Source organism: Homo sapiens, chromosome 10 (genome assembly GCF_000001405.40).
Source record: "Homo sapiens chromosome 10, GRCh38.p14 Primary Assembly".
NCBI lineage: Eukaryota > Metazoa > Chordata > Mammalia > Primates > Hominidae > Homo > Homo sapiens.
This window is the reverse complement of record NC_000010.11, coordinates 64,051,826-64,078,101: the sequence shown is the minus strand read 5'-3', so window position 1 is coordinate 64,078,101 and position 26,276 is coordinate 64,051,826. Positions and strand designations below refer to the sequence as shown.

Genomic DNA, 26,276 nt, shown 5'->3' with positions numbered 1-26,276 from the left:
CAGTTTGTCCCCTTGCCCCCGGGGCAAGTCCACACATAAGCTACTGCAAAAACAGTGGTGTCAAATTCTAGCCTAAAAGATCCCTCAATAAAGAGACACAAATTCTCAGAAATACCCACATGAAAATGCTACATGAACTAGGGTCATTTTCATGGCTAAATTTCTGGAACAGAAGTGTGAAGTATATTCTGGAATTCTTTTACAGCCAAAAACTCCCTAGACGTGCATTTCCAAAAATGTGTTCCCTCCATGTTAGTAGGTCTTCAGCCTAACAATGATTTTATTGGACAAATCGGTTTAGGAAACATTGATTTAAGCAAAATCTATTTCTTCTGCTACAGGAATTTCTCAGAATGTTTAAAGTGTTGTTGTTTTCCTTATATCACCAAAGATTCCCTTTTATTTGCAACATGATGTTAACATACTAGAGTGGTCCTTTTTTCTTGTTTTTCTGTTTTATTTATTTTTAATTTTGGGGGGTACATAGTAAGTGTAGATATTTGTGGGGTTCATGGTATCATCAGCACTACTGTCCCCACCCTACCCAGTTCTCCCCCCACCACCACTGTCCCCACACCCTACCCAGTTCTCCCCCCACCACCACTGTCCCCACACCCTACCCAGTTCTCCCACCCACCACTGTCCCCACCCTACCCAGTTCTCCCCCCACCACCACTGTCCCCACACTACTCAGTTCTCCCACTCACATTCAGATCTCATATCAAACACCTCTTCCTCAGGAAAGCCCTTCCTTAGCCCCCTAGAACAAAGATTAACAAACTATGGCCCAGGGGCCTCATCCATCCAGCTGCCTGTTTTGCATAGCCCACAAGCTAAGAATGGTTTCTGCATCTTTAAGCGGTTGAAAAAAAATCAAATGAAAAATTTTGTAACATGTAAAAATTACACAAGATTCAAATTTCAGTATCTATAAAGTTTTATTGGAACATAACCACGATCATTTGTTTACATGTTGTCCATGAACTACTTTGACACACTACAACAGCAGAGTTTTGTAGTTGGACCAGACCATTTGGCTTGCAAAGCCAAAAATATTAACTGTCTGGTCCTCTGCAGAAAAAACTTCCCAACTCCTATTATTGACTATATGCTTTCATAGCACTGTATGTAAACTTTTCTCTTATGAAAGTTATCTCACATTTAAATTTTATACTTACTTGATTACTATAGTAATAGTTGTCTCCTGACTAGACACTGAGTTCCCTGAAGGCAGGGCCCAGATTTGTTTTTTTTCCTAGCCTTTTATTTCCAAATAGCACAGTATCTGCCACATGGTAGATATTAACTAAATGCATATTGGTGAGTGAGTAAGTAAATACCTCCTGAAACTGATGTTCCGTAACACATGACTTGGGAAATGGTACTCTATGTACATATCCTCCAGCTGGTAGGAAGAACAAAGAGAAAGATTTGCTTGCAGAATATTTCACCAAAATTATGTTATAAACAGAGTCTAAATCAGCAAAAGGGAGGCTTTTGGGTCTTAAAGTTTCTCCACTCTAAGGAAATTGAAGTTGCCACAGCCGCACTCATTCGAGGCCTCTAGGGGTCCTTGAAAATCAAGTGAGGAAACACTCAGAGCCTCAAGGGGGCTTGGAGCTATCCAGAAAAGTGCTGGGCCCCTGGAAGAAGCTGACTAATCGAAAGTATGTAAGAAAAGAAAAGGAGTCGGATATGTGTGAGATGCGACTCCCAGAATTTGCAAAGACTAAAAGGGACTCAATGAGAAAAAGAGACGCCTGTTTCTCTGGACACCATGGATGTTTATGATTGCCCAACAGTGAAATTTTTTTTTTTTTAGTAATGACCCACATTGCAGCCCATCTAGACTCAGCAGTCCTAAAGGAAGAGCTACATGATTTCCATCACGTTCTGGAACTGCCCTCTGACTCCTCTCCCATTTTGATCCAAATCACTACTTTTCTCATCAGACACTATTTATGAGGTTTAATGCATGGACTTAGGCATTACCAAGAGCCTACAGACATGTGTCAGCAAGACGTTGTTTCCGTGAGTTTCAGACCAGCTGCATTCGATAGTTATTTGCCAGCCTGTCTTCCTGATTAAAAATGAGAAGACAGGCCTTCCAAGGAAGCACAGAGTAAAACCATCAGGCCTTTCCTGGTTTGAAAAGAATCAGGTTCTTTTCTATTTCCTCACCAACAGAGCATTTCTCTTCATTGATTCGCTATTGAAGAAAACTTTCATGAGTTACTACTGTGTACCAGACACTGTTGAGCAAAGTCATTCCTGGCCTTGGGGATCTTGCAGTGTAGCGGGGAAAACAGACATTAACCAGATAACCACACAGATCAATAACTATTTCCAAACTCTGATAAGGACTTTGAAGTAAAGCTACAGGGCTCTGTGAGTGTGTGTAATGGGGAAAGTGTCCTTAATTGTAAGGTCAGGGAGGGCTGCCTAAAGATGTGACATTTGAGCAGAGATATTAAGAAACAGAATTTTCTCAAGCACCTGACCTCCCAAAAAATAGTTTTTGGCCTGAAATTCTATGGGATTTCCACCTGGAAATCTCCAGTTATTGATATATTTCAAGCAAACTAAACCAGAAGTGAAAGCAACCACTGAAGTAGACTGGCAGCAATGCTCCAATTTTCTAATATTGAGAATTAGACTCTCTTTCACATGATGCCACAGACAGAAGTATTGGTAGAAATTTTCCCAGGCTTCCTATAAATTTACCTAGAGTCTTTTATAATCTCGATTTTATAGATGGAAAAATCAAGGAAGAAAGAGGTCAGGCTTCACGCAAGGTTGTAGTGACATTCCTCCATCCAAAAAGAAATAAGCTGTTTACTCCAGAGCCATTTAGATGGGTCCTGAGTCAAGAAGAAATCAATAGGTGGATTAGGTACTTCCTCATGTAAGGTATCAGCAAGCAAGAGGCAGACATTTGACATAACTGGAGCCCCATATATGCACAGAGCCTGTCTCTGAGAGATAAGGGAAGAGGATGAGTGTGTTTTAAGAGAGATTCCTTTCCTTAAAATGAAAAGAACAGAGAAAATAACAGACCAGGGAGGACAGGATGCCCTATTCCAAACATTCACCATAAGCTAAGAGGATTATGTGCTCAATGTTAGGCTGTGCCCTCTGAAGGTCAAAAGTATGAGCTTTTAAGGAATTTAATCTAGTTGAGAAAATATTACACACCACACACACACAGAGATCAATACAGCTAAAGTGTGGATCAGATATAAATCATAAGAAGAGCATGGAAAAATACTAGAGTGGTCAGAAGAGACTGCATGATAACATTTAACTTTTGCTGAGCACTTACTATGTATCCCAATAACTCCTAACATTCACCAAGCACTAATTCATGCTTTAGCATTGTGCTAAGTGTTTTAACACATTCTCTCACAGGTAGTATGAGTGGAGCACTGTTTGAAAGATGAAAAAATTAAGGCATGAGAAGTCAAGTAATCTGACCAAGTTTTGCCAGCTAGCATGTGGCAGAGCTGAGAGTAGAACCCAAGGTCTATTCATGACTCATGATAGACCCTCTGTTTCTGTAGAATTAGGTAGAAGAGATTCAGCTGTCTTCATGCCTCTCTCAAGACAAGTAAATCTTCTTCATCTCATTTATCATTGTAACTGTTATCAATAAAGATATTTTCAGGGCAAAGCTGGGATTTAATCCAAGCTATCTGGCACTAGAGTCTGTGCTTTTAATTTTCATACTAGGCTATCTTTACAAGAAGGAAAGAGAAGAATTAATACTTAGGTAGAAGAACACAGAGAAGACATTCTTTTATTCATTCATTCAACAGACACTTTGTGCCTGGAATTGTTCTCAATGCTGGAGATACAGCATATAAACAAGGCATAGTTCGTTTTCTCATGGACCTTACATTCTGCTAAATGTAAATAAATATGTGACTAAGCTACATAAGTGAATAAATGGTGTCTTAATGCATGATATATACTAGAAGATAATAAAGCTAGATAAGGAAATAACAAATTTCAGGGTAGAGATGTTGATTGTGCCATTTTAAATAGTATAGTGACACAAAGTCTCTCAGTAATAAAGGGGAACAACTTCGTAGAGCCCTAAAGGAAGTGAGAAAGTCATGTGAATATCAGGAGGTCATTCCAAGCAGAAAGACGATCAACTATTGGTATTTTACCCCATTATCACCTAACTGGAAATCTAAGGATGATCTTCCTCTACCTCTTGAAATTGGCAGAGGTCCTTGGTTGAATGTCCTGGGAGATTCCTTTTGAAGAGACACCATACATGTCTTTGTGACTCTCAGCCACCTGGGTTGTCACTATGTGACACCAGAAAAATTCCCCATTTGCTCCAGAGATCCAAGACACATGAAGATTCTTTTTGCATTCCTCTTTGCAGTCACTTTTTATTTTGGAAATTCTTCTACAAGACCTCCCTGTGGAGCATTTTTTTTTTGGCTGAAGGACCTTTTTGAGAACCTGACAAAGGCTATAGATTCTCTCTCTCCAACCACTCCCAAAAAAATCATGTGCCCTAGAAATGATGTGTAACATTACCTATCCTTAAGCCCATTCATGGACATCTCCACACAAAGTCTACGGACTTTAAGTAAAGAGTCCTCTTTATGGAGTCCCTTTTGAGGGAGACTCAGACACTCTCACTCTCAGGAAGAAAGCCCTGCACTATCTGCAGAACCATCATCACTTATTGAAATGTCATAAGCCACAGGGAATTCCAGGCAGCACAGGAACAGAGCAAAAGAAACTCTCACTGATACTCCTTGTAATCATATGCTCAGACCCCAGACAACTCTTGAGCCATCACAAACTAGAAACTAGGAGGCTAGACAAGGGGGACATGTTAGGAGAGTGGCTTTCACGATGCATGCCACTGTCCAGGACACACTTTTGCTAGTGAAACCATGACTACTTGTGATATTCATGTTTCTATTTACCACAAGAAATAGAATTCCTTAAGGGTGGAGCTGTGCTTTCCTTATATTCCAAGTAGCCACCAAGATGTTAAAAGCCACTTTAAATTAGTTAAACACAAAAGCAAATAGTTATAGGCTCACATGTCCAATACGATGAAACTTACAGATATGGATGGACTTAAAAACTACTAGAGCCAGGGATTTTAATATTTTCCCCTTTCTTCATATTTTCATCTATATTTATATAAAAATTATATACCCATCTTTAGGTGTTTTCCTATTCTTTGACTTTTCTCTCTTGGTCACCTGTCCCCATGAGATAAAAATATGGCCACAGATGCTCTGGGCTTATATCTGAACAATATGTCCAGAGAAAAAACGAAAAGCTAAGGAGCTTTGCTTCCAGCTCCTGTTTGAAAAACGGCAGGAAGGATTTCTTCTTTGCCCAGTTTAAGTCACATATCCATTTCTAATTCAAGCTCTGTGGCCAGGGAGATGAGGCACTATGACTGGCCAATTTCCTCATAATACATGAACATGACTGGAAAAGGGAGATTATTTAAGGTAGGCATACTATGACAAGAAGAAGAATAGTGAATGGATGCTGAGCAGACAAAACAAATGGCTTTTGCAAATAAACATAATATTGATAAACTCTAATGATTTTCCACCGTGTCCTAGATACTATGCTTAAGTATGTTAAATAGATTATCTCATTTATCAATCATTCTACAATTAGTTGTTGATGAGGTAGCATGAGGCTAGATTGTGAGCAATCCTGAAATCTAGGCTAAGCAAAGCAATCCCAAGCAAAAAGAACAAAGCCAGAGGCATAACATTACCGGGCTTCAAATTATACTACAAGGCTGTAGTAACCGAAACTGCATGGTACTAGTAGAAAAACAGACACATAGACAAATGGAACACTATAGAGAACCCAGGAATAAAGACGCACATCTACAACCAACTCATCTTCAACAAAGTTGACAAAAATAAGCAATGGGAAAAGGACACTCTATTCAACAAATTGTGCTGGGAAAACTGGCTAACCATATGCAGAAGAATGAAACTGGACTCCTACTTCTCACCATATACAAAAATTAACTCAAGATGAATTAAAGACTTAAATGTAAGACTTCAAACTATAAAAATTACAGAAGAAAGCCCAGAAAATACTCCTCTAGACATTGGCCTAGGCAAATAATTTATGATGAAGACCCCCAAAAGCAAATGCAAAAAAATCAAAAGTAGACAAACAGGACTTAATTAAACAGAAGAGCTTCTGCACAGCAAAAGAGACTTTCAGCAGAGTAAATAGACAACCTACAGAATGGAAGAAAATATTTACCAATTATGCATCCAACAAAGGACAAATATCTAGAATTTACAAGGAACTTAAATGAATCAACAAGAATAAAACAAACAATCCTAATAAAAAGTGGGCAGAGGAGATGATCAGACACTTTTCAAAAGAAGACACACAAGCAGCCAATAAATGTATGAAAAAATGCTCCACATAACTAATCATCAGAGAAATGCAAATCAAAAGCACAATGAGATATCATCTCACACCAGTCAGAATGGCTATTATGAAAGAGCCAAAAAAAAAAAAAAAAAACCAGACGTTGGCGAGGTTGTGGAGAAAAGAGAACACTTATACACTGTTGGTGGGAATGCAAATTAGTTCAGCCCCTGTGGAATGCAGTTTGGAGATTTCTTGAAGAAATAAAAATAGAACTACTATTCGACTCAGCAATCTCATTCCTGGGAATATACATCATCCTACCAAAAAGACACATGTGCTAGTATGCTCGTTGCAGCACTATTCAAATACCAAAGACACGGAATCAACCTAGGTGCCCACCAGTGGTGGACTGGATAAAGAAAATTTGATACTTGTATACCATGGAATATTATGCAGCCATAGAAAAATGAAATCCTGTCCTCTACAGCGACATGAATGCAGCTGGAGGTTGTTATCCCAAATGAGCTAACACAGAAACAGAAAACCAAATATCACATGTTCTCACTTATAAGTGGAGGCTAAATCTTGGGTTCACATGGACATAAAGATGGGAAGAATAGACACCTGGGACTCCAAAAGGAGGGAGAGGAGGAGGGGGTTGAAGGCTGAAAAACTTCCTATTAGGTACTATGCTCACCGCCTGGGTAACAGGATCAGTAGAAGTCCAAACCTCAGCACCACAGAATATACCCTTGTCACAAACCTGCACATGTACCCCCTGAATCTAAAATAAAAATGGAAATTTAAAAAAGAAGAAATATAGAAGAATAATAAGAAATAATTTAATAGCATATAAGGTAATGGTTAGTATATAATACCAATCATGTATTGCTATTGGAGAGCCAATAAAGAATTTGAGGGACAAGTCTACATTAAAAAAGCGATGCTCAAGGGTGTTTAGTGCAGCAGTTGGCTGACTCTGTCACCTGTTTCCAATGACTGAATGGTGGTTGAAAAGCAGCATGCAAAGCCCTGAGTCTTCAAACTCTGGATGAGATCTGAGAGTTTTCTTACCAAACACCTCTCTATGTCTTTATGCCCTACAAAGAGTCTTCCTTTTCCTGTTCATTAATCCCTAGCAATAAAAAGGTATAATGGTAGTGCTGAACTGAGCCGTATTTATGGAAACATCACCTATTAATTCCAGGGCTCACCCACCAGCTCACAGGAAAGATGAACATTTCCCTCTGGCAGATAAATGCAAGCTTCAAAGTAAATTTGAAAGTAGTGAGCACATTCTGTTATTTTCCCTCTTAACAAGGCTTGATGAAAGCAATCTCCATAGAGGCTGCTTAATTGGGCAGGGAGCTCATCTCTGAGCAGCTCTGGCAGAAGGAACCAAGAGCTGCTTAGAACATTTTGTCTTAAGGTTACCCCTTTTCCAAGGAGGAAGGGGAATTTTTCCACCTGAACTGCCCCAGTTCCACACACCTCAAGGGTCCTCCAGGGGACCCCTGTCAAGTGGCTGTTTTGAGTATTTTCTGAACAACTGGCTCCCTACCTTATTTCCCAGCACAAACTCTTTGCTTTTCTAATTACCCTGCAGGGGAAGGTACGCTGTTTACTTCCTGCTCCCAAAAATATGCAAGCTTTGTTTCCTGCTGCTAAGATGCCCTGAGAAACCAATGCATATTAGTAATCATAGCCCCTCTGGACCATGTGAGGGAGGTTCAGAGGCCAGCTGTATCCTCTGCCCCAAAGGACCACCTTTGCAGACAGAGGCACTGAAGACTGTGGAACCAAACGAAACCATCATCCTAGGTGGGTGAGTTCTAAATTCAACCTCAGCTGGGAACTCATACCCTGCCCACCCCCAACACACTTACATAGCAACAAACCCCTCTGCAGCCTTCCTCACTGCCTTGAGACATCCCAGGTCCTCCCAAACCTGTGTGACCACCATGTCAACCAGGGACTGCGCTAGCAGAGTGAAAGGAACAATAGTAATGGCTAATATTTATAGGACATTTTGTGTGCCAAATGCTTTACATAACTACCTATTTTTATGCCCATGACAACTCTATGATTTCCACATTTTAGAGATGAGACCTGAGACTTAGAGGGTTTATGCAACTTTATCCAAAGTTAACATAGCTCTTTACTAGGAGCAAAGCTACTGTCTCTCTGATGGGGCTGGGAGGGTTGGGGCAGTAGATGCTCTGAACCAATACTGCTTCCCAGGGAAGGAAGTATGTCCTGGGAGCCTCCACTGTTTTTTCAATCAGTCAATCAGTGTTTACTGAGAGCTATTATGATGCAAACAATATACTAAAACAATATTTGACATGCTCTCTTCTGTTCAAAGAACTTCCATTCCAGCTAGTAGACAAAATGTATACACATGACAATTCAATACAAATATTCCAAATAGCAATATAGAAAAGACAGTTGAACCTAGAATAACAAAGGTTCTTAACCTGGGGTCCCTGTGGATGGTTTTAGGGAGGTCTAGGAACACCCTTAAATCATACGCAAAATTTTCTTCATATGTGCAATTTTCTGGCTTCTCTTAGGTCAGTGTTTCTTAATCAGATGTGATTTTGCCCTCCAGAGCTATTTGACAATGCCTAGATACACTTTTGGTTGTCTCGGCTAAGAGAATGCTACTGGCTTCTAGTAGGGAGTAGAGGCCAGGAATGCTGCTGAACATTCTATAATGCATGGAACAGCCACCCACTACATCTGCATTAGATTCTCCAAGGCCTCTCAGTCAATTCTAAAAAAAAATTAAGAGCAACTACACAAGAGCTTTACTTTTCCAAGGAAAAGCATGGACAAGAAGTATCTTTGCAGCCTTATAACACTTTTGTCATGGCTCACAGATGCAGCTGGATTGCTCTTCTAAGATTCCAGTATCCCTCAACATCTTGCTAAGTAACTTTCCACAAAATCTGAGCACTAGATTTTCTTGCTAAAGTCCCATGGGTTGTAATGTTCCTGGGCACTATGTTTGCATTTCCACCAGGACATTCAACACAGAAGACATTGAAAAATGGTGAACCCATCTACCAAGACATAGTGAACCCATTTGGAAGCACAGGGTGAGGAGGCATGACTCCATCATGTATTAAATCTATGCCCTGGTGTCCACACTGAGGACTGGATTCTAGGCAGTAGAAATATGGTTCTGTGAGAAGTTTATAGACCTGAAAGTCAGGGCACCTGGCTGTCCCATCAACGAACTCTGGGGACTGAACCCCAGTTTCTCTATAAAATGCAGGACTTGAGGTCTGCATCTGCCAAAATTCTACCAGAGACACAGAACCAGTAGGAGATAGATATTAAGGGATTATTGCAAGTCATTGGCTTATACAATTGTGGGCTAGGCTAGGCAAGACCAAAATGCTTAGAGCAGGCCACCAAGAAAGATAGGCTGGAACTCTTGAACATAGGCTGAAGCTACAGTCACACATGAAATTTCTTCCTCTTCCAGGAAACTGCAGTTCTGCCATTAAGACCTTCCACCTGATTGAATTGGGCCCACTCACATTACCCAGGATAATTCCCTGTACTTAAAGTCACCTGATAATGAACATTAATCACATCTACAAAATACCTTCACAGCAACCCCTCATTAGTGTTTGATTGCGTAACTGACATATAAAACTGACCATCACAGACTCCATGGTGTCTTAGTTTGTTTTGTACTTTCAAAAGCTTCAATTTTAATATTAATCATCCTGAACAACAAAATGTCATTTTTAGGACTGAGATCCAGGCACAGATACACCAAAGGGAGCAACTCTGAGCAATTGGCTCAAATATTAAGTTAGGTCATGAGGACTCGGGCTTAGGAGGCAAGGTGCAAAGATACAGATCTGGCCACACCAGGGTCTCTCTTAACGCAAGTCAAGGAAGGTTTAGAGAAAGTGCTGCTAAATAGAAGCTTTTCTTCCAAAATGCAACTGGCAAACTGTCCATCCACCCTAGGCAAGGTCTTTTAAGGAACCAATTATTTCCTGGAGAAAAAATAAAGTATTGATACAGAGACCATTGTGTTTTCTGGCATTTATCCAGATCTTAGAATTACTGAATTTTTGAGCAAGAAAGGATCTTAGAGTTAATCTTTTTTAACTCTCATTCACATTACAGATGAAGGGACTTGAGAACCAGAGAGATTTGTGAACCACAGTGTCAAGAAGCTCCTCAGTGTCACAGCCAGGATAAATAAAGCATCAGAAGTCCCAGGCCAAAGCTCTTTCAACCACTTCTGCTTCCAACAAGCCAAAGAAATGTGTACAGGCCTAAAATACAAGACTTCTACCTCCTCAGCAAAGCCTGCAAGCAAGCTCTTTATTGCTGGCATTTACCCTGACAGATATCAGTAACTACAAAAGGGTATGCTGTTAACGCACGATGACAAATTCCAAAATTGGCTTGTTTTCACAACTGTCACTTTTTAAGAGGTGAATGACCTTTCTCTGGTTCTTTAAAAACCACTGGATTTCAGCCAGTGCAACATCCCCGCACTTCCTCCCACAATCGCTTGCTATGAAAATGTCATTATTCTATTTTGGAGAGGCTAGAGGAGTTGTGCTTCTTTTATAATAACTATTTTTTTCTGAAAGGGGAAAAAAAATCATGAAAGCCAGGACTGGAAAAGTTTTCATGGATCAGTCACACTCCCAACATGCACAGGGGGAGAAAAAAGTAGAAAATACAATGTCAAATCCCATATGAAAGATGTAATCCCTTTACCCTCTATGGGAAGATCTTTTGTGGCTTTATTTTGATTCAGGACTGAGAAATGTCTTGTTGCCCATTTTCAAAACTGCATCGGCCTCCAGCAGCCCTCTCCCTGATAAACCACCTAATCTGAGGGATAGAAATAATTCCCCCTGTCCAACATTCAGCTCCAAATTCTCCCTCCTGAACCCTATTATTTTGGAATTTTTGGTAGCAACAAACAGAAATAGGCAGCAAGATTAAGAAACAACGAGATAACATGTGGGTATATGTGCACGAAAGTGCTTATGTACCTAGGTGCCGAGGCAAGAGACTGAAGGCACAAACTGTTTCAGTATAATAAAGAAAATAGTTAAAATAAGAATAGTCATAATACAAATTAGATATAGAGATGATCATGGACAATTATCAATCATTATTATAAACATTATTAATCATTAGCTTTTAATATTACTCTTTGTTGCATTACTAATATGACCTAGGAATAACCGGTGGGTATAAGGTCAGGTACTGAAGCGACATTGTGAGAAGTGACTTAGAAGGCAAGAGGTGAGCCCTCTGTCACACCCATATAAGGGCCGCTTGAGGGCTCTTTGGTCAAGTGGTAATGCCAGTGTCTGGGAGGCCACCCATTACTTAGCAGACCGCGAAAGGGAGTCTCCTTTCCTTGGAGGAGTCAGGGAACACTCTGCTCCACCAGCTTCTTGTGGAAGGCGGGATACTATCCAGGCCTGTCTGCAGTCATCCAGAGGCCTAAACTCCTCCCTGTGGTGCTGTGCTTCAATGGTCACGCTCCTTGTCCACTTTCATGTTTCTCCCGTACTCCTGGTTCCTCTTTGAAGTTCGTAGTAGATAGCAGTAGAAGAAATAGTGAAAGTCTTAAAGTCTTTGATCTTTCTTGTAAGTGCATAGAAGAAAATGCTGACATATGCTGCCTTCTCTCTCTGCTTCGGCTACCTAAAAGGGAAGGGCCCCCTGTCCTATGATCACGTGACTTGCTTCACCTTATCAATCACTTCGAAGGTCCACCCTCCTTACCCTGCCCCCCCCTTGTCTTGTATGCATTAAATATCAGCGCGCCCAGCCGTTCGGGGCCACTACCGGTCTCCGCGTCTTGATGGTAGTGGTCCCCTGGGCCCAGCTGCTTTCTCTTTATCTCTTTGTCTTGTGTCTTTATTTATTACAATCTCTCATCTCCACACACAGGGAGAACACTTGCTAAGCCCCGTAGGGCTGGGCCCTACAGGTATATATTTCACAAATCCTAAATAGTGACCATATATTATCTCTGAGAAGTTCTGCCCTTAAGGACTAAGGATCATCAATAAAAGACTCAATAATAAAAAGTATTTTCTTTTTCCCAGGATAAAACCCAGAGAGAGAGAGAGAGAAATACTGCTTTAGTTGTACTTCCTGACACTAAGTAACACAACCTTGATTATCAATGGCCTATTTGACAGGGGTAGAAGTAAGGGAACCCCCTTGCCAAGGATGAGGAAAGATCGGTTGGTTTTCATTGCTTAATGCTTGTACAGTATCTTTTGTGTAAATTTCAACATAGCCTAGTCTCTAGGTAGTAAGCCAGTTGCCTAGAGAGATCAACTATGTGAGTGAAGCAGTGGAGGCAGGAGACTAGTGATATCCCCGATGTAATGAATCCATTACATTGTCCATTACATTGACTATCCTATTATCAGGACTGAAATTCCCACAAGTCACTTTAAAGACTCTTATTAAAAGTACATTGGGGCCGGGTGCAGTGGCTCATGCATGTAATCGCAGCACTTTGGGAGGCCAAGCAGGGCGGATTACCTGAGGTCAGGAGTTCAAGACCAGCCTGGCCAACATGGTGAAACCCCCTCTGTACAAAAATTAGCTGGGCATGATGGTGGATGCCTGTAATCCCAGCTACTTGGGAGGCTGAGGCCAGAGAATCGCTTGACCCTGGGAGGTGGAGGTTACAGTGAGTGGAGATAGTGCCACCGCACTCCAGCCTGGGCAACAGAGCAAGACTCTGTCTCAAAAAAAAAAAAAAAAAGTACATTGGTTTTCTAGCAGCATAATATTCTAATGTGGCACCCTTTTCTCCTTCTAGGCTGCAGTGCTTCCCAGCAGATAGATCTTCTCAGTAGGGGAAGCATATTATAGAGTAGCAGCTGAAAGCATGGTACCTGGCATCTATAGCCACACGACCTGAGTTTGCGACCCAGCTCCATAGCTACAAGGTATGTGACTTGTGCAAATTATTTAACCTGTGGACTCCTTACTTTTATCTGTGAAATGGGGATAACAAGGGCATCCATCTTATAGGGCTTTGGTGAACTTTAAATAAGATAATGAATGCAAAGCATATAGTAAGCCCTCAATAAATATCAGCCATTATTCTGGGTCCAAGCTCCCCAACCTTCTTCGTATTAAGATGTATATTTTGAAAAAAAAAAAAAAAAGTTAGTGTCTGCATGGGGAACCAGGCCAAACTAGGCTGCTCATAGACAAAACAGGGAAACTTCCAGGGAACCCAATAGACAAAACAGGGAACCCAATAGAAGAGATGTATTTATTACAGCTGAAACCACACATTATTCCCAGATGAAAATTTCTCCTGTCCATACTGGATTTTTACTTCATTTTACAGGCAACATTTCTCTCAGGACGCTATCTCGGTCCCCAACCCACACACTGTAAATTTTTAGCCAACTCTGTTCTCTCTCTTTCTCATAAGCAGTTATAAGCCATTATTATTTTTTTTACCTTTAAGCTCTGTTGGACTTAATATAGGCCATTATATTTCTAACCAATATAAACAGAATTCTTCTTTAAAGGATTTACCCCACACAATATCGCCAGAAGCAGGGTCATCAACAAGTCTTATGGTTAGAACAGGTAGGTGAAGAGTAATTCTGAAGTTGAGGATTGCCATCACCCAAATCCCTGCTTGCCATTTTCAAGTATATCACACTGGCTGGAGGGTGAGGCTGAACCCAGGAAGGCCTGAGGAGGAGGTAAACCCACCAGGCCTCCACTGCTGCCTTCATTCTGCCCTTCTCCACTCAGTCATTGCATCATCTCCCTTCAGACTGGTGTTCTCATCCTTTCAGTCACTTGGCAAATATGGCCACCCTTCCACCTTCAACTTCACATGATAAAGGAGCAGGTTGACTCAGTTGCCCACTCTGTGTAATCAGCAAAAGCATGGCAGCAGGTGAGCCCATGACAAGCAGCCAGGGCCCACTCCTAGGATACAGTGCAGACATTTGGGAGAAAGCTCAGTTCGCAAAGAGAAGGTCACAGATTGAACCAAAGACTGACTCCATTACACCGTCCACACATTGACCATCCTATCATCAGTCCTGAAATTCTCACAAGTCACTCTAAAGACTCTTGTTGGAAGTACACTGGTTTTCCAGCAGCATAATATTCTAAGATATTTTCAGTCATTGATGGCTAAAAATGTGTGTAGACATGAAACAGAAATGTTTTTGACAGAGGTATGGAGCCTGAACACTCATGGAGTAAAAGGCAATGTAAAGGGAGCAGTTCTCCCACACAGAAGTGCCCTGGGAAGACAGGAAGCTGTCTGGATACATGCAGGAAAGCTGGGAGGTGGGAAATAAAAAAAAGGGGAAGGAAGGAGGCAATGAGAAAGGGACTCTGAAAACAAACACATAAACCACCCTCACAAGTTTTTCCACAGCCAGGGATGTTCAAGGCCTGTGGCATGAAAAGCTGTTTTAAAACCAGCATTAACCAGTGACCCCAGTTCTCTCCAGAAAATGGGCTGAAATGAAAAATTAGAGCTCGGTAGAGGGTAAAATTGTTCTGCCTGGCACAAAGGAGAATTTACTACAAGACTATAATTCAAATGAAAAACCAGAGGACATAGTTTGACAAAGAATATTTGTGCTATTTCAGGGCGAATAAGGCAGTCTGAAGAATGTACTTTGGATATTCAAATATTGGAAGTTACTTGATACCACAATGGTATACAAAGAAAGAAACCAGAGCTAGGTAGGAGGTACAGTGAATTCAAGTGATGGAAAGGGAATATTGAACCCATTTTCAATTTTAAGAAATAATATAACAAACAACAATATATAAAGCCAGAGAAATTTTGCCAGAGAAAATTTTCCAGGGACTGATTAAGGTTACGGTTCTATCGAACTGGAATTCACCTCATACTATTAGTCAACAAGCTGATATTAATTAATATGTCACAGACTGCTTTCCAGCAGGCTTTGTTCCTTTCACTGCAGTCAGACAATATTAATTTGACCTATGATTGGTGAAATGAATTGCTTTTGAAGTTGCCTTAGTTTCTGACATCTCTCAATGCAATATCAAACAAGGGATAATGCCCTTCAATTCTCAACAACCCCCTTCAAAAACAAATAACTGTTATTTCTCATCCACTTCCTTGAAAAACTCTCACCTTTTGCTTAGAACTCATACATAGATGAAGATTCAGATGCAAGTAACAGAAAACAACTTCAACAGAAAACAACTTCGCTCTGTCGCCCAGGCTGGAGTGCAGTGGCACAATCTCAGCTCACTGCAACCTCCGCCTCCCAGATTCAAGCAATTCTCCTGCCTCAGTCTCCCAAGTAGCTGGGATTACAGGCATGCACCACCATGCCCAGCTAATTTTTGTATTTTTGGTAGAGACAGGGTTTTGCCACGTTGGCCAGGCTGGTCTCGAACTCCTGACTTCAGGTGATCCACCCACCTCAGCCTCCCAAAGTGCTGGGATTACAGGCATGAGCCACCGCGCCCAGCCTAAACTGAAATTTCTAAGTCTCACTTCCAAATTTCTAGACAAGAGAACCTGATCAACCCACCTTGACCCAGCTCTGATTCAGACCTGTGTGACTGTCCCCCAATTTTTCCTACCTTGATAGCATTCCTAACTTCTGCTTATATTTTGGGCTGTTGGTTCCTCTGGTCTCCCTTTTTCTATCTAGCCAACCACTCTGCTTTATATCTTTTAGAAATATCTAAAAAGTTTATGCCCTGCTCCACCCATATCACCCTTCCTTGTTTTCCATTGCTTTTATGAAAGCATTCCCTCTGTATTGTCTCAAAGGAATTCTGTTAGGAGGAAGTAGATGTGGGTAACCTGCCTGCCATTTTAACACAATTGCCCCCATTCTTCAGCTACTTCTTGTTACTGTTCTTTATAGTCCTTCCTTTTGTCTAGTGCTATATCAAAGCATAACTTAAATTATGTCACTCCCCAGATCAAAGCCTTCAAAGACTCCCAAAAGTCTCCCAATGGCAGCAGGTACAAATTTCTTATCCTGACATTTAAGATCATTCATTATCCAGCTCATATAACTCTTTCTGGAAAACTGACCATTTGCCTTCTTGAACCTAATTCTTCATTCTAAAGTGCCCATTTGCTGCTCTTCTCCAAAGAGTCGCCACATGTAAGCGTTTTCTACTATAACTTTGCTGATCTCTTTCCTCTGCCTTACTGCTTATGCCAATTCCAACCCCAACAACCATTAATCCTACTGACTCTCAAACATTCAGACCTCCTCTTGAAGCCTTCTTACCCATTCAGGTCACTGTCATATCTTATTTCAGAAAAATCCATATAACTCTGAACAAATATTTCTTTTGACAATTATCTCCTCATTCCTTGTTTTTCATTGCTGCTAGATATATTATCTCTCCCATTAAATTATAAGCAAATGAGAATGTCTTTATTCATCTTTTGCATCCCCTACAACACTTTACATTGTACATAGTACTTTCTCAAAAAGAATGAAATAAAGGTGGAAGAAGAAAATTCAATTTTTGCTTGGAGCTTATTCCTTCCTTTTTAACATTCCATCATAATTTCTATCACATTGCATTTCCAAAATCATTTTATTATATGTTGCACTTCACAAAATTCGCTTTTACGTATTTGGAATCATTATTGTAGCCTTGATAAAACCAAGATCCAGGTGTTTCACTCTTAGAATAGTTTCCTATTCACAGAAACACAACCCAGCAACCAAATATAACTTCAGACTGAAATCTTTGATTGCATTTCTCAAAAAGCACAAAGGGAATTCAAATACATGGTCCACAGTACCATCTATAAAAATCCCTCCTCTCTTCAATCCATTTCCATCAAATCTTGCAGCTACTCTGCAGAATGTCTCGCTATAACCTTCACACCCTCCCAAGCTCTTCCACTGCTCAGTTCAACACTGCTTTGCTTCCCTTACCTTCAGTCAAGATGGGTTAATCAGATTCCCTGTCTTAAAAAATTAGGAGTATGACTAAGATACTTTGGTTCAACTTGAGCCGATCTTTTTAATGTAAGCAAATTCCACCCGTCATGGGAGAAGTCTATTTGACAAAGGAGAACTCTCCTACAGAAAGAAAGATATGCCTTTGCAGGCAGAGAATGAGTGGGCAGGGGAACGGGTTGACAATTATAAAATTCTCTTAGCCGTGGTAGCATGAAATCTTGTAACACCATGAATTTGACATTTAAACTAAGACAATGGTCTAAGAGACCGCTGTCTCCCCTCTTCATGCTTTCGCGTTTTAGGAAGAACTTGGAAATACACAAATAAAACTATCAGCGAATATCAAAACACATGACAAGTAGAAAATTTCACAGCTCATGGGTGTTTCTATGTAAGCTGAAGGAGAGGAGAAAGGCATCTTAGAAAAGAAAGAACTTCTGATGAATTTTACATATTTCAAAATTTTAAATAAACAGGCCAGGAAATATTTCAGATATGTTCTGCAGGCTCACCTGGGAAGCTCTCCAGAAGAAAGGCTGGCTATCTCAGATATCCAGGGATGTTCGATTGTCTTGGTCTGAAGGCTCTGGCTCTAGAGACAAAGGTGTGAGAGGCTGTGATGAATTGCAGAGAACTGAGGGAGCCACATGGCTCCCAGTCCCATGACAGGGCTGCCCCTTTTGCTGTGGACTTGCAACTGCAGAAAGCAGCTGCCCTCACACAACATACCTCTTTCAGCTCATCTAGTTGTCTAATATTCATGCTATTTGTTTCCATTTTCTTTTGAGTTATTTTACTGAAATCCATTTCATCTTTATGCTCTTTCACTTTTGGCATGTTAGTTATTTCCTGCACTTAATTTTTAATCCCATCAACTTTTATACTTTTCACTTCCCATCCTCTTCCAATATATCTTAATCTTTTATCTCTTTTACGGTCACGGTTTTAACCTTTTATCTCATTGCCCTCTGGCCTCCTCTCATTTATTCTAAATCTCATCCACTTCTTCCTTTTATTTATTTTTTAATGTTAAGCCATTAACCTTTATTTGGGGTTTAATTCTCTTTTTTTTCTATTCCTCTTTATTCACTTTCTTTTTTCTATCTGACTCAATTTTTTTAAGTTAGACTTTCTTCTAAATATCTACCTTTCTTCATAAAATGAAAATGTGTTCTCTCTTCTTCCTCTTCTCCCCTTATAATTTTTTGTACTTAAAATTTTTATTTTTACAACAACTGGTAAGAAGTAAGGCCAAAGGGGTGCTGACTCCATACACAGGGGAGGCCGGAGACTTTCTGCTCACCTTTCACTGTACCTGTAGGCTGCCCTCCAGACTCCAGAATTCCCCACACCCCACTATCCCCAGGGACCTCCCAGTCCTATTTAGAAATCTCAGAACATTGTCACCTGGAGAGATAGAAAAACCTAGGAAGTAATGCTTTCCAGGGCTCTAGTTTTCCACATAGTAGGCTCACTTAATTCTCTCGAACCCATAGATTCCTGTTACCTTGATCTGTCTGGGTTATACATGAGGCTCTGCAATTATTGTTGTATCGTCATGAGAGAAGGGGACTTTTTAAAAAAATTCATGGAGATGTAAGAAAGCTAAAAAATAGGAATATATAGCAAAGATGATAGGCAGAAAGAATGAATGGGATCAGAAAATGGGAGAGAAAAGGGCAAAACATCCCTGAATTTAGGGAAAAACATGTCAAAAATATTCCACAAGCAAGTAGGTAATGACAGGGAAGCACCTCCCTAGAAAGAACTCCCAAATACTGTGGGAAATATTTGACAAAGTATTAAATTTAGTGTGACTTGTTGAACCCACTAATTCAAAGTGGCCTTTGAATTCTTCCCTTCGATCTTGATTTGCTTTCCCACATTAAGGCTTACTGTCAGATATGCTGTATCTTTGATTAATTATCAGATATTTACTTGACCTATTTTGGAGAATAAGGAATTCCAATACTTTTAGTACATCCAATGCAACCCTACCAGAGGCATCCAAAAACAGATAAATAGATTTCCTCTAGATTTTATTTTGAAAATAGGTATGTTAACCTACATGCAAAATTTCTCAGCAAATGAATCTATAATCAGAACCTTGTGGTGCTGAATGGGGCTTCTCTACCCTAGAAGCAAGCATCACAGATTGTATCAGAGTCAGCTCTCTCTTTCCATTATCATCCTTAAGAATGATGCTACAAACGGAGTGTCAATTCTTCACACAAATGTATGAAAGCCACCCTGCATTTGGTGGTAAACATTCAGGGTCTTATAAATTTTTGTACCCTAATTTCATTTCTGCCTTTACGAGTGTTTTTTTCGTATGATCAGTTTCTTCTGTGTTCATTTTTTCACTTATGTATTTTGTACTTAGTTTTATCTTGACATTATTTATGTTAAAAAGACTAATCTTTTCTAGAACAAGTTGATAATAAATAGAGAAACACTATTTAAAAGTTACAGGACTATAATTAGTTGTGGTATGTAAACACTGGGGAGTAAGTACATCTTTTTGATCATGGGAGTTACAGGACTTACACAGTTGAAGTAGTTTTTGCCATATGGCCAATGCACACTGCTGAGATAGACTCATGATAGGAATAGAAGTTACGAAATGACTGCAGCGGGTGATGAGCCAATGGAGAATAATAAAAGATTGAAAGAGCACATACCAAGGAAGAATCTGCTACGTGTGGTGACACACACTAAGTATACAGAGAACTAGTTTATATTAACTATCAGGTCTTGGCCAAGTTATCAAATGCCTCAAAACCTCTTGTTTTCTCATCTGCAAAATGTAAATAACCAAAACTTACGTCAAAGAATTTTTCTGAGGATTAAATGAGATAATACATGCAAACTGTTTAGCATAGTGTCTTTCATATAGTAAATGTGAAATAAGTGTTATTTAGTTTTAGAATATAAATAAATGAAAATAATTAAAGATAACTTCCAGGATTTGAGCTGGGTGACTGAGGAAATGGTGATGTAAGTGACAACATTAGATAGCTGTTCTGGGAAAGAGAAAATTAGTATTAGGTTAGGTTACTACTTTTAATGGCATTTAAAGTAATGGCAAAACTGCAATTAATTTTGCACCAATCAGCCGGGCGTGTTGGCTCGTACCTGTAATCCCAGCATTTTGGGCGGCCGAGAAGGGCGGATCACCTGAGGTCAGGAGTTTGAGACCAGCCTGGCCAACATGGCAAAACCCCGCCTCTACTAAAAATACAAAAAAAATTAACCGGGCATGGTGATGTATGCCTGTAATCTCAGCTACTCGGGAGGCTGAGGCAAGAAAAGAATTTGAACCCTGGAGGCGGAGATTGCAGTGAGCCAAGATTGCACCACTGCACTCTAGCTTGGGTGATGGAGTCGGACTCTGTCTCAAAAAAAAAAAAATTTGCACCAATCAAATATTATATCAGGATAGAGTTAGCATATTCCCACATGCTTCCTATCTGCCTTAATGTAAAAGCTGCAAAACGTCCATTTCCATTGCTTCCTCTTTCATTAGCACCAGCCCACTTGGATGGATCTGCCTGCTTTATTTACGTGCTATTTACTACTTCTCCCTGATTATTAATGAAAATGTTAACTAAACCTCTCCCCTGTGGCTTACCACCAGACACCTTTTCCCAAATGGGGGTATGCCATAATTTATTGTGAATCTTTTACTTTTCTCCTCTCCAATCAGTTTCCAGAATCATAATTGGCTTTTTAAACAAAACAATTGGAACTAATTCACGGAGTATATTATAATCACATCTGCCACATCTACAAATGGCAATTGATATTCATTAGCTGTAAATCCCCAAATCAGAAAAACCAAAAGGGAATAGGATGGACTAAAAGGAGTTTATGGGGGGAAAAGTCTAGAATATTCTGTACCCTTTAAGTGGTGGAATGATGTGTGAAATAGGCCCCTAACCCCCAAGGCAAGTCAATTAAAGTTTTCATCACATGATGATATAACCAAAGGTCTTTATTTTTAACATATTGAATATCTTATTTCCTTTGTTTTCTATTTTGTCCTATATTATTTGAAATTTTTCTTAGAAGGTTTTTATTTTTCTTACTTCCAATAGTCTTTTCCAGTAAAAGGTATTTGCTTAAATTAGAAATCATAAAATAACATCCAGGATTTGTGAATTGAGGTATATGCTCTTTTCTGAAGAGAGTACATGCAACCACAGAGGCCTTCCTTTTGCCATAGCTTTGGGAGGAAGAGATGTAGAACCCATATACAATAGCATAAGAGAAAAGTGACCTTTAGGACAAAAGTATATGGGGTACAGCTGCAAGCTCACATTTTATTAGTTCTCACCTGCCCCTAGGGATAGTTGTGGCCCCAGAACTACAGAGTAAGTTAAATAGCCAAGGTGGAAATAAATGGCCATTTTATTCCTCCACTAGACATGGGATCCTCTGACCAGGTTCCCCTGTGGGTATATGGGCCAGCAATCCTGTCATCTTCTCACATTCACAGGGTCCATAGCTTTAACTTCTCATGTTCATCATTGGGAGGTAGTCTGGTGTCAAGTATAGGCTTCTGAATCTCGGCTCCATTGCTTACTGACTCTTCAACCCTCAGCTTCCACACTTGCAAGAAGAGAGTAATACCTACCTGGCAATATGGTTCAAAAGTCTTAGTAAAATCACTGGTATCAATCATATCCTAAGGAGGGTGATGGTGAATGCCAAAGATGAGAAGTTGGTTACCTGCTCATATCAGAGAATATCTGTTTTTTTAAAATAAAAAAAAGCTTTAATGATTTTAAGTCCTGAGTTTTAATGCCTAATATTTTAGAGTTTCAGGCCACCTGCCACAAGAAAGATTGCAACTTACACAGAAAGCTAAAGAGAACTGATGAAATTTTTAAATGAGTCATGGATTCCATAGCTGGTGCTATCTGCCTTTGTGTTAGTCTAATGAGCACCTAATGACTCCGTATAACTCAGCCAGGGAGAAAGTAAGGAGGGTAGGCAATTCCTTATACTGTCAACCTAGGTTTTAAGGCTAAAGTAGAAACTTCAAATGAAAAAAAATATTTCTTTCCAGGACCATTGAACAATCATTTGGTTCAGTGTCTTTTCAAAGGAAGGCAATTGAGTTGAACTTCCTTTAGGATATTCTGCTGCAGAAAAAAAAAAAGACGTCTTTGAAGCTTCATGCAATGAGCTCTATCAGTCAACTTAAGGAAGCTGATTTAGCAAAACCAGCTGCAAGAAACTAAACACATTCAGAAGTCAGCCTCTACTTCCACATATATTCCCTGAAATCTTGGTCCCTCTCTCACTGTAGCCCCCACTCTGTTCCTCTGCAGTATCATCTGGAAGAGCTGGAAAACTAAACAGAGTTTATAAATCTTTGTGCTTCAGATGAAGCTTACTTGAGTTTCTGAATCCCATCTGTTACATATTCAACACTTCCCTTAACTTCCCTTTAAGCACTTTGATGCTGTTGTATTGCAAAAGTGACCTTCCAGGTACAGGAAAATGGTACCTCTGAGTTAGTAATCACCTGTTACATTGCCTCTAAAATGGCCATGAGGCTCTATAGATTAAGAAGAGTGCACTCCCCTATCCCATTAAAATCACTACTATTACCCTGAAAGTGGTGATGCTCCCAGGAAAAAGGAATTACAAATACTTGACCCCTTCCTGCCCATCCAAGAGTGAAAAATGGCAACTATTCAATGGGGGGGGGGGTGGGGGAGTGGAAGGGACATTAAAAATGAGCCTATTTCTCTCCTTCTCATAGAATACACTGAAGAAAAATTAAATCTGGGGAGGGGTAGGTCTTGCTGACAGCAAAGATTTCTGACATTTGAAGAAAGAATTCTCTTCACAGAATAAAGCTACAAAGTAGATCAAAAACATAGTCTCAGTTCTAGCTCTAACAACATAAAGACCATTACAATAAATCATTTCTCCATGGAAGGATCTCTTGTATATATGAAGCTGTCAGAAGTCTCCCTTATACACATAAAGGGTACTACATTATATACCCCAAAAAAGAGTGCTATAAAACTAACTTGAGAATGGGAAAGATAAATGAACACCTACAACAGAGGTTGGGCAATTCCTAAATAGCAAAGGTCAGGAAAAATTCCTGGAGTAGGACTTTGATGCATTTCTATTCTCTTCATGACTGAGTGTGTCCCAGTAACACCCATCAATAAATGTCTGCTGGTGTTTTATAACCAGCTCACTTTTGCTGATTTCAGTTTCCATCAGTTTTTCAGATAGAATAGCAACTTGTCACAGCTCCATAGGATAAAACCATGAAGCCTTCTTTGTTTTGGTGCTGGTAGCTTTTTATCTATTTATTTATTTTCAGTGTTCCATGGTTGCTATGAGCATCTCCTTTCTGATTGGTGTATTCAATTGCTGTTCTGCTGAGAATGGTCTCACTTCATAAATCTGTAATTAAAGAAACCAATGAAGAATGTGGCAACCCCAAAGTTGAGGTGTATTTCTGACATGGGTCATATCTCTGCTCCTTTTGCCAAATGATACTGAAATATTCACGGCAAATTAGCATACGGCACATCCTGTTTTAAGAGGAAATGTTGCAGAACAATATCTGTAACTGATGCATAAAATATAAGTTTTCTATTTTCACATGCAAAAGCAAACCCACATATATCAAGGGTTTATTACTTGAGATTCTTCAAGTCAATAAAATTTTCCCTGTGGTATCTAGAACATAACAACTTAATTAAGTGTTCTCTGGTTTAAATACTTTGCCTTTAAACTTGTATAGAATATTCCATAAAGGTTTTTGTCATATAATTTTGGAAGACTGGATGTGAAAAAGGAATCTTCATCTGCAGGTGGTTTTTCCTCCCTTGGTGTTGATCTGGGGCAGAAGATCACAGATACTAGAGTTATGCTTTAGGTGGTATATTTTGCCTCTGTATATATTGTGAACATAAATGGTGTGTAATGGTCAAAAAGTAGAAGAGAATACTTTATTTAATTTCTTCCTAAGATAAAGTAGTTGAGCTAAAGACAGCTAAACCCACACTGCACCATGACTGACTGAGTCTTAGAGGAAATAAATCACAGTGAGAAAAAAATTCTTATTTCTAGTGTTATCTGTTTTGGGGCAGAGAGACTGGCCAGCAAGAAGCATATTCAGCTTCATTAGACAGATATTTGGGGAGAGGCTTGTCAGCGGTCCACTGGCCAATTGTGCACATAAATTCCCAACTCCAAGTTTGATGACTGTCAAGTTGGTAGCTTGATATCAATCACAGCAAGAGTATTTACCCCACAGAAATCAGCAGACACTACACAGGGCTACCCTTCTTCCCCCTTGTCCCATGCATCACCACCACCACCACCAACCACATCAGCTGGTAAACATTTACCAGCACACTACTGATTGGGAGCGACTATAAATAGTCTCACATAAAGTCACAGAATGGGGCTTCTGTGTAGGTTTTCATTTATCCTATTAGGGTAGTGGTGACCTGAGTACAACTCTACTACCAAGACCCAGGCCCAAATTAAGACAGGAGCTTGCACAGCCATGTTAGGAGCCATTAACATCATGTCTGCTATATCTAGTGTGACCATGTGATGGTAAATTGGTACCCCAGAGAGTGGGGTGCTACTATAAAGATACCCAAAGATGTGGAAACAACTTTGGAACTGGGTAACAGGCAGAGGTTGGAACAGTTTGGAGGGCTCAGAGGAAGATAGGAAAATGTGGGCAAGTTTGGAACTTCGTAGAGACTTGGAGGGCTCAGAAGACAGGAAGATGTGGGAAAGTCTGGAACTTCCTAGAGACTTGCTGAATGGCTTTGACCAAAATGCTGATAGTGATATGGACAATGAAGTCCAGGCTGAGGTGGTCTCAGATGGAGATAAGGAACTTGTCAGAAACTGGAGTAAATGTCACTCTTGCTATGGTTTAGCAGAGACTGGAGGCATTTTGCCCCTGCCCTGGAGATCTGTGAAACTTTGACCTTGAGAGAGATGATTTAGGGTATCTGGTGTAAGAAATTTCTAAGTGGCAAAGTGTTCAAGAGGAAACAGAGCATAAAAGTTTGGAAAATTTGCAGCCTCACAATGCAACAGAAAATAAAAACTATTTTCTGGGGAGAAATTCAAGCCCACTGCAGAAATTGGCATGAGTAACAAGGGGCTGAATGTTAATCACCAAGACAATGGAAAAAATGTCTCCAGGCCATGTCAGAGACCTTCACGGCAGTCCCTCCCATCACAGGCCTGGAGGTCTCAAAAGGAAAAATGCTTTTGTGGATCGTGCCCAGGGCCCCCCTGTTCTGTGCAGCCTTGGGATACAAAGCCCTGTGTCCCAGCTGCTTCAGCTCCAGCCAAGGCTAAAAGGGGGCAAGGTACGGCTCAGGCCCCTGCTTCAGAGGGTGCAAGCCCCAAGCCTCGGCAGCTTCCATGTGGTGTTGGTCCTGTGGGTGCACAGTAGACAAGAATTGAGATTCAGGAACCTCTGCCTAGATTTCAGAGGATGTATGGAAACACCTGGACATCCAGGCAGAAGTATCTTGCAGGGGCAGAGCCCTCATGGAGAACCTCTGCTAGGGCAGTGTGGAAGGGAAACATGGGATAAGAGCCTCCAAACAGAGTCCCCACTAAGGCACTGCCTAGTGGAGCTGTGAGAAGAGGGCCACCATCCTCCAGACCTCAGAATGGTAATCTACCCACAGCTTGCACCATGCACCTGGAAAAGTCATAGGCACTCAATGCCAGCCCATGAAAGCAGCAGGAAGGGGGGCTGTACCCTGCAACGCCACAGGGGTAGAGCTGCTCAAGGCCATGGGAGCCCACCTCTTGTATCAGCATGACCTGGATGTGAGACATGGCATCAAAGGAGATCATTTTAAGGTTTAATGA

General features: G+C 40.4%; 1 long non-coding RNA gene across 3 annotated transcripts in view; it reads right to left on the bottom strand.

Annotated features, from left to right (window-relative positions):
• The window catches only part of LOC124902439 (uncharacterized), an 820,351-nt gene that overhangs the window by 614,838 nt on the left and 179,237 nt on the right, over positions 1 to 26,276 (bottom strand). For all 3 annotated transcript variants that reach the window (XR_007062161.1, XR_007062160.1, XR_007062163.1), the window contains exon 3: positions 17,897 to 17,976. This is a non-coding gene — a long non-coding RNA (uncharacterized LOC124902439). The remainder of the gene's footprint in view (positions 1 to 17,896; positions 17,977 to 26,276) is intronic.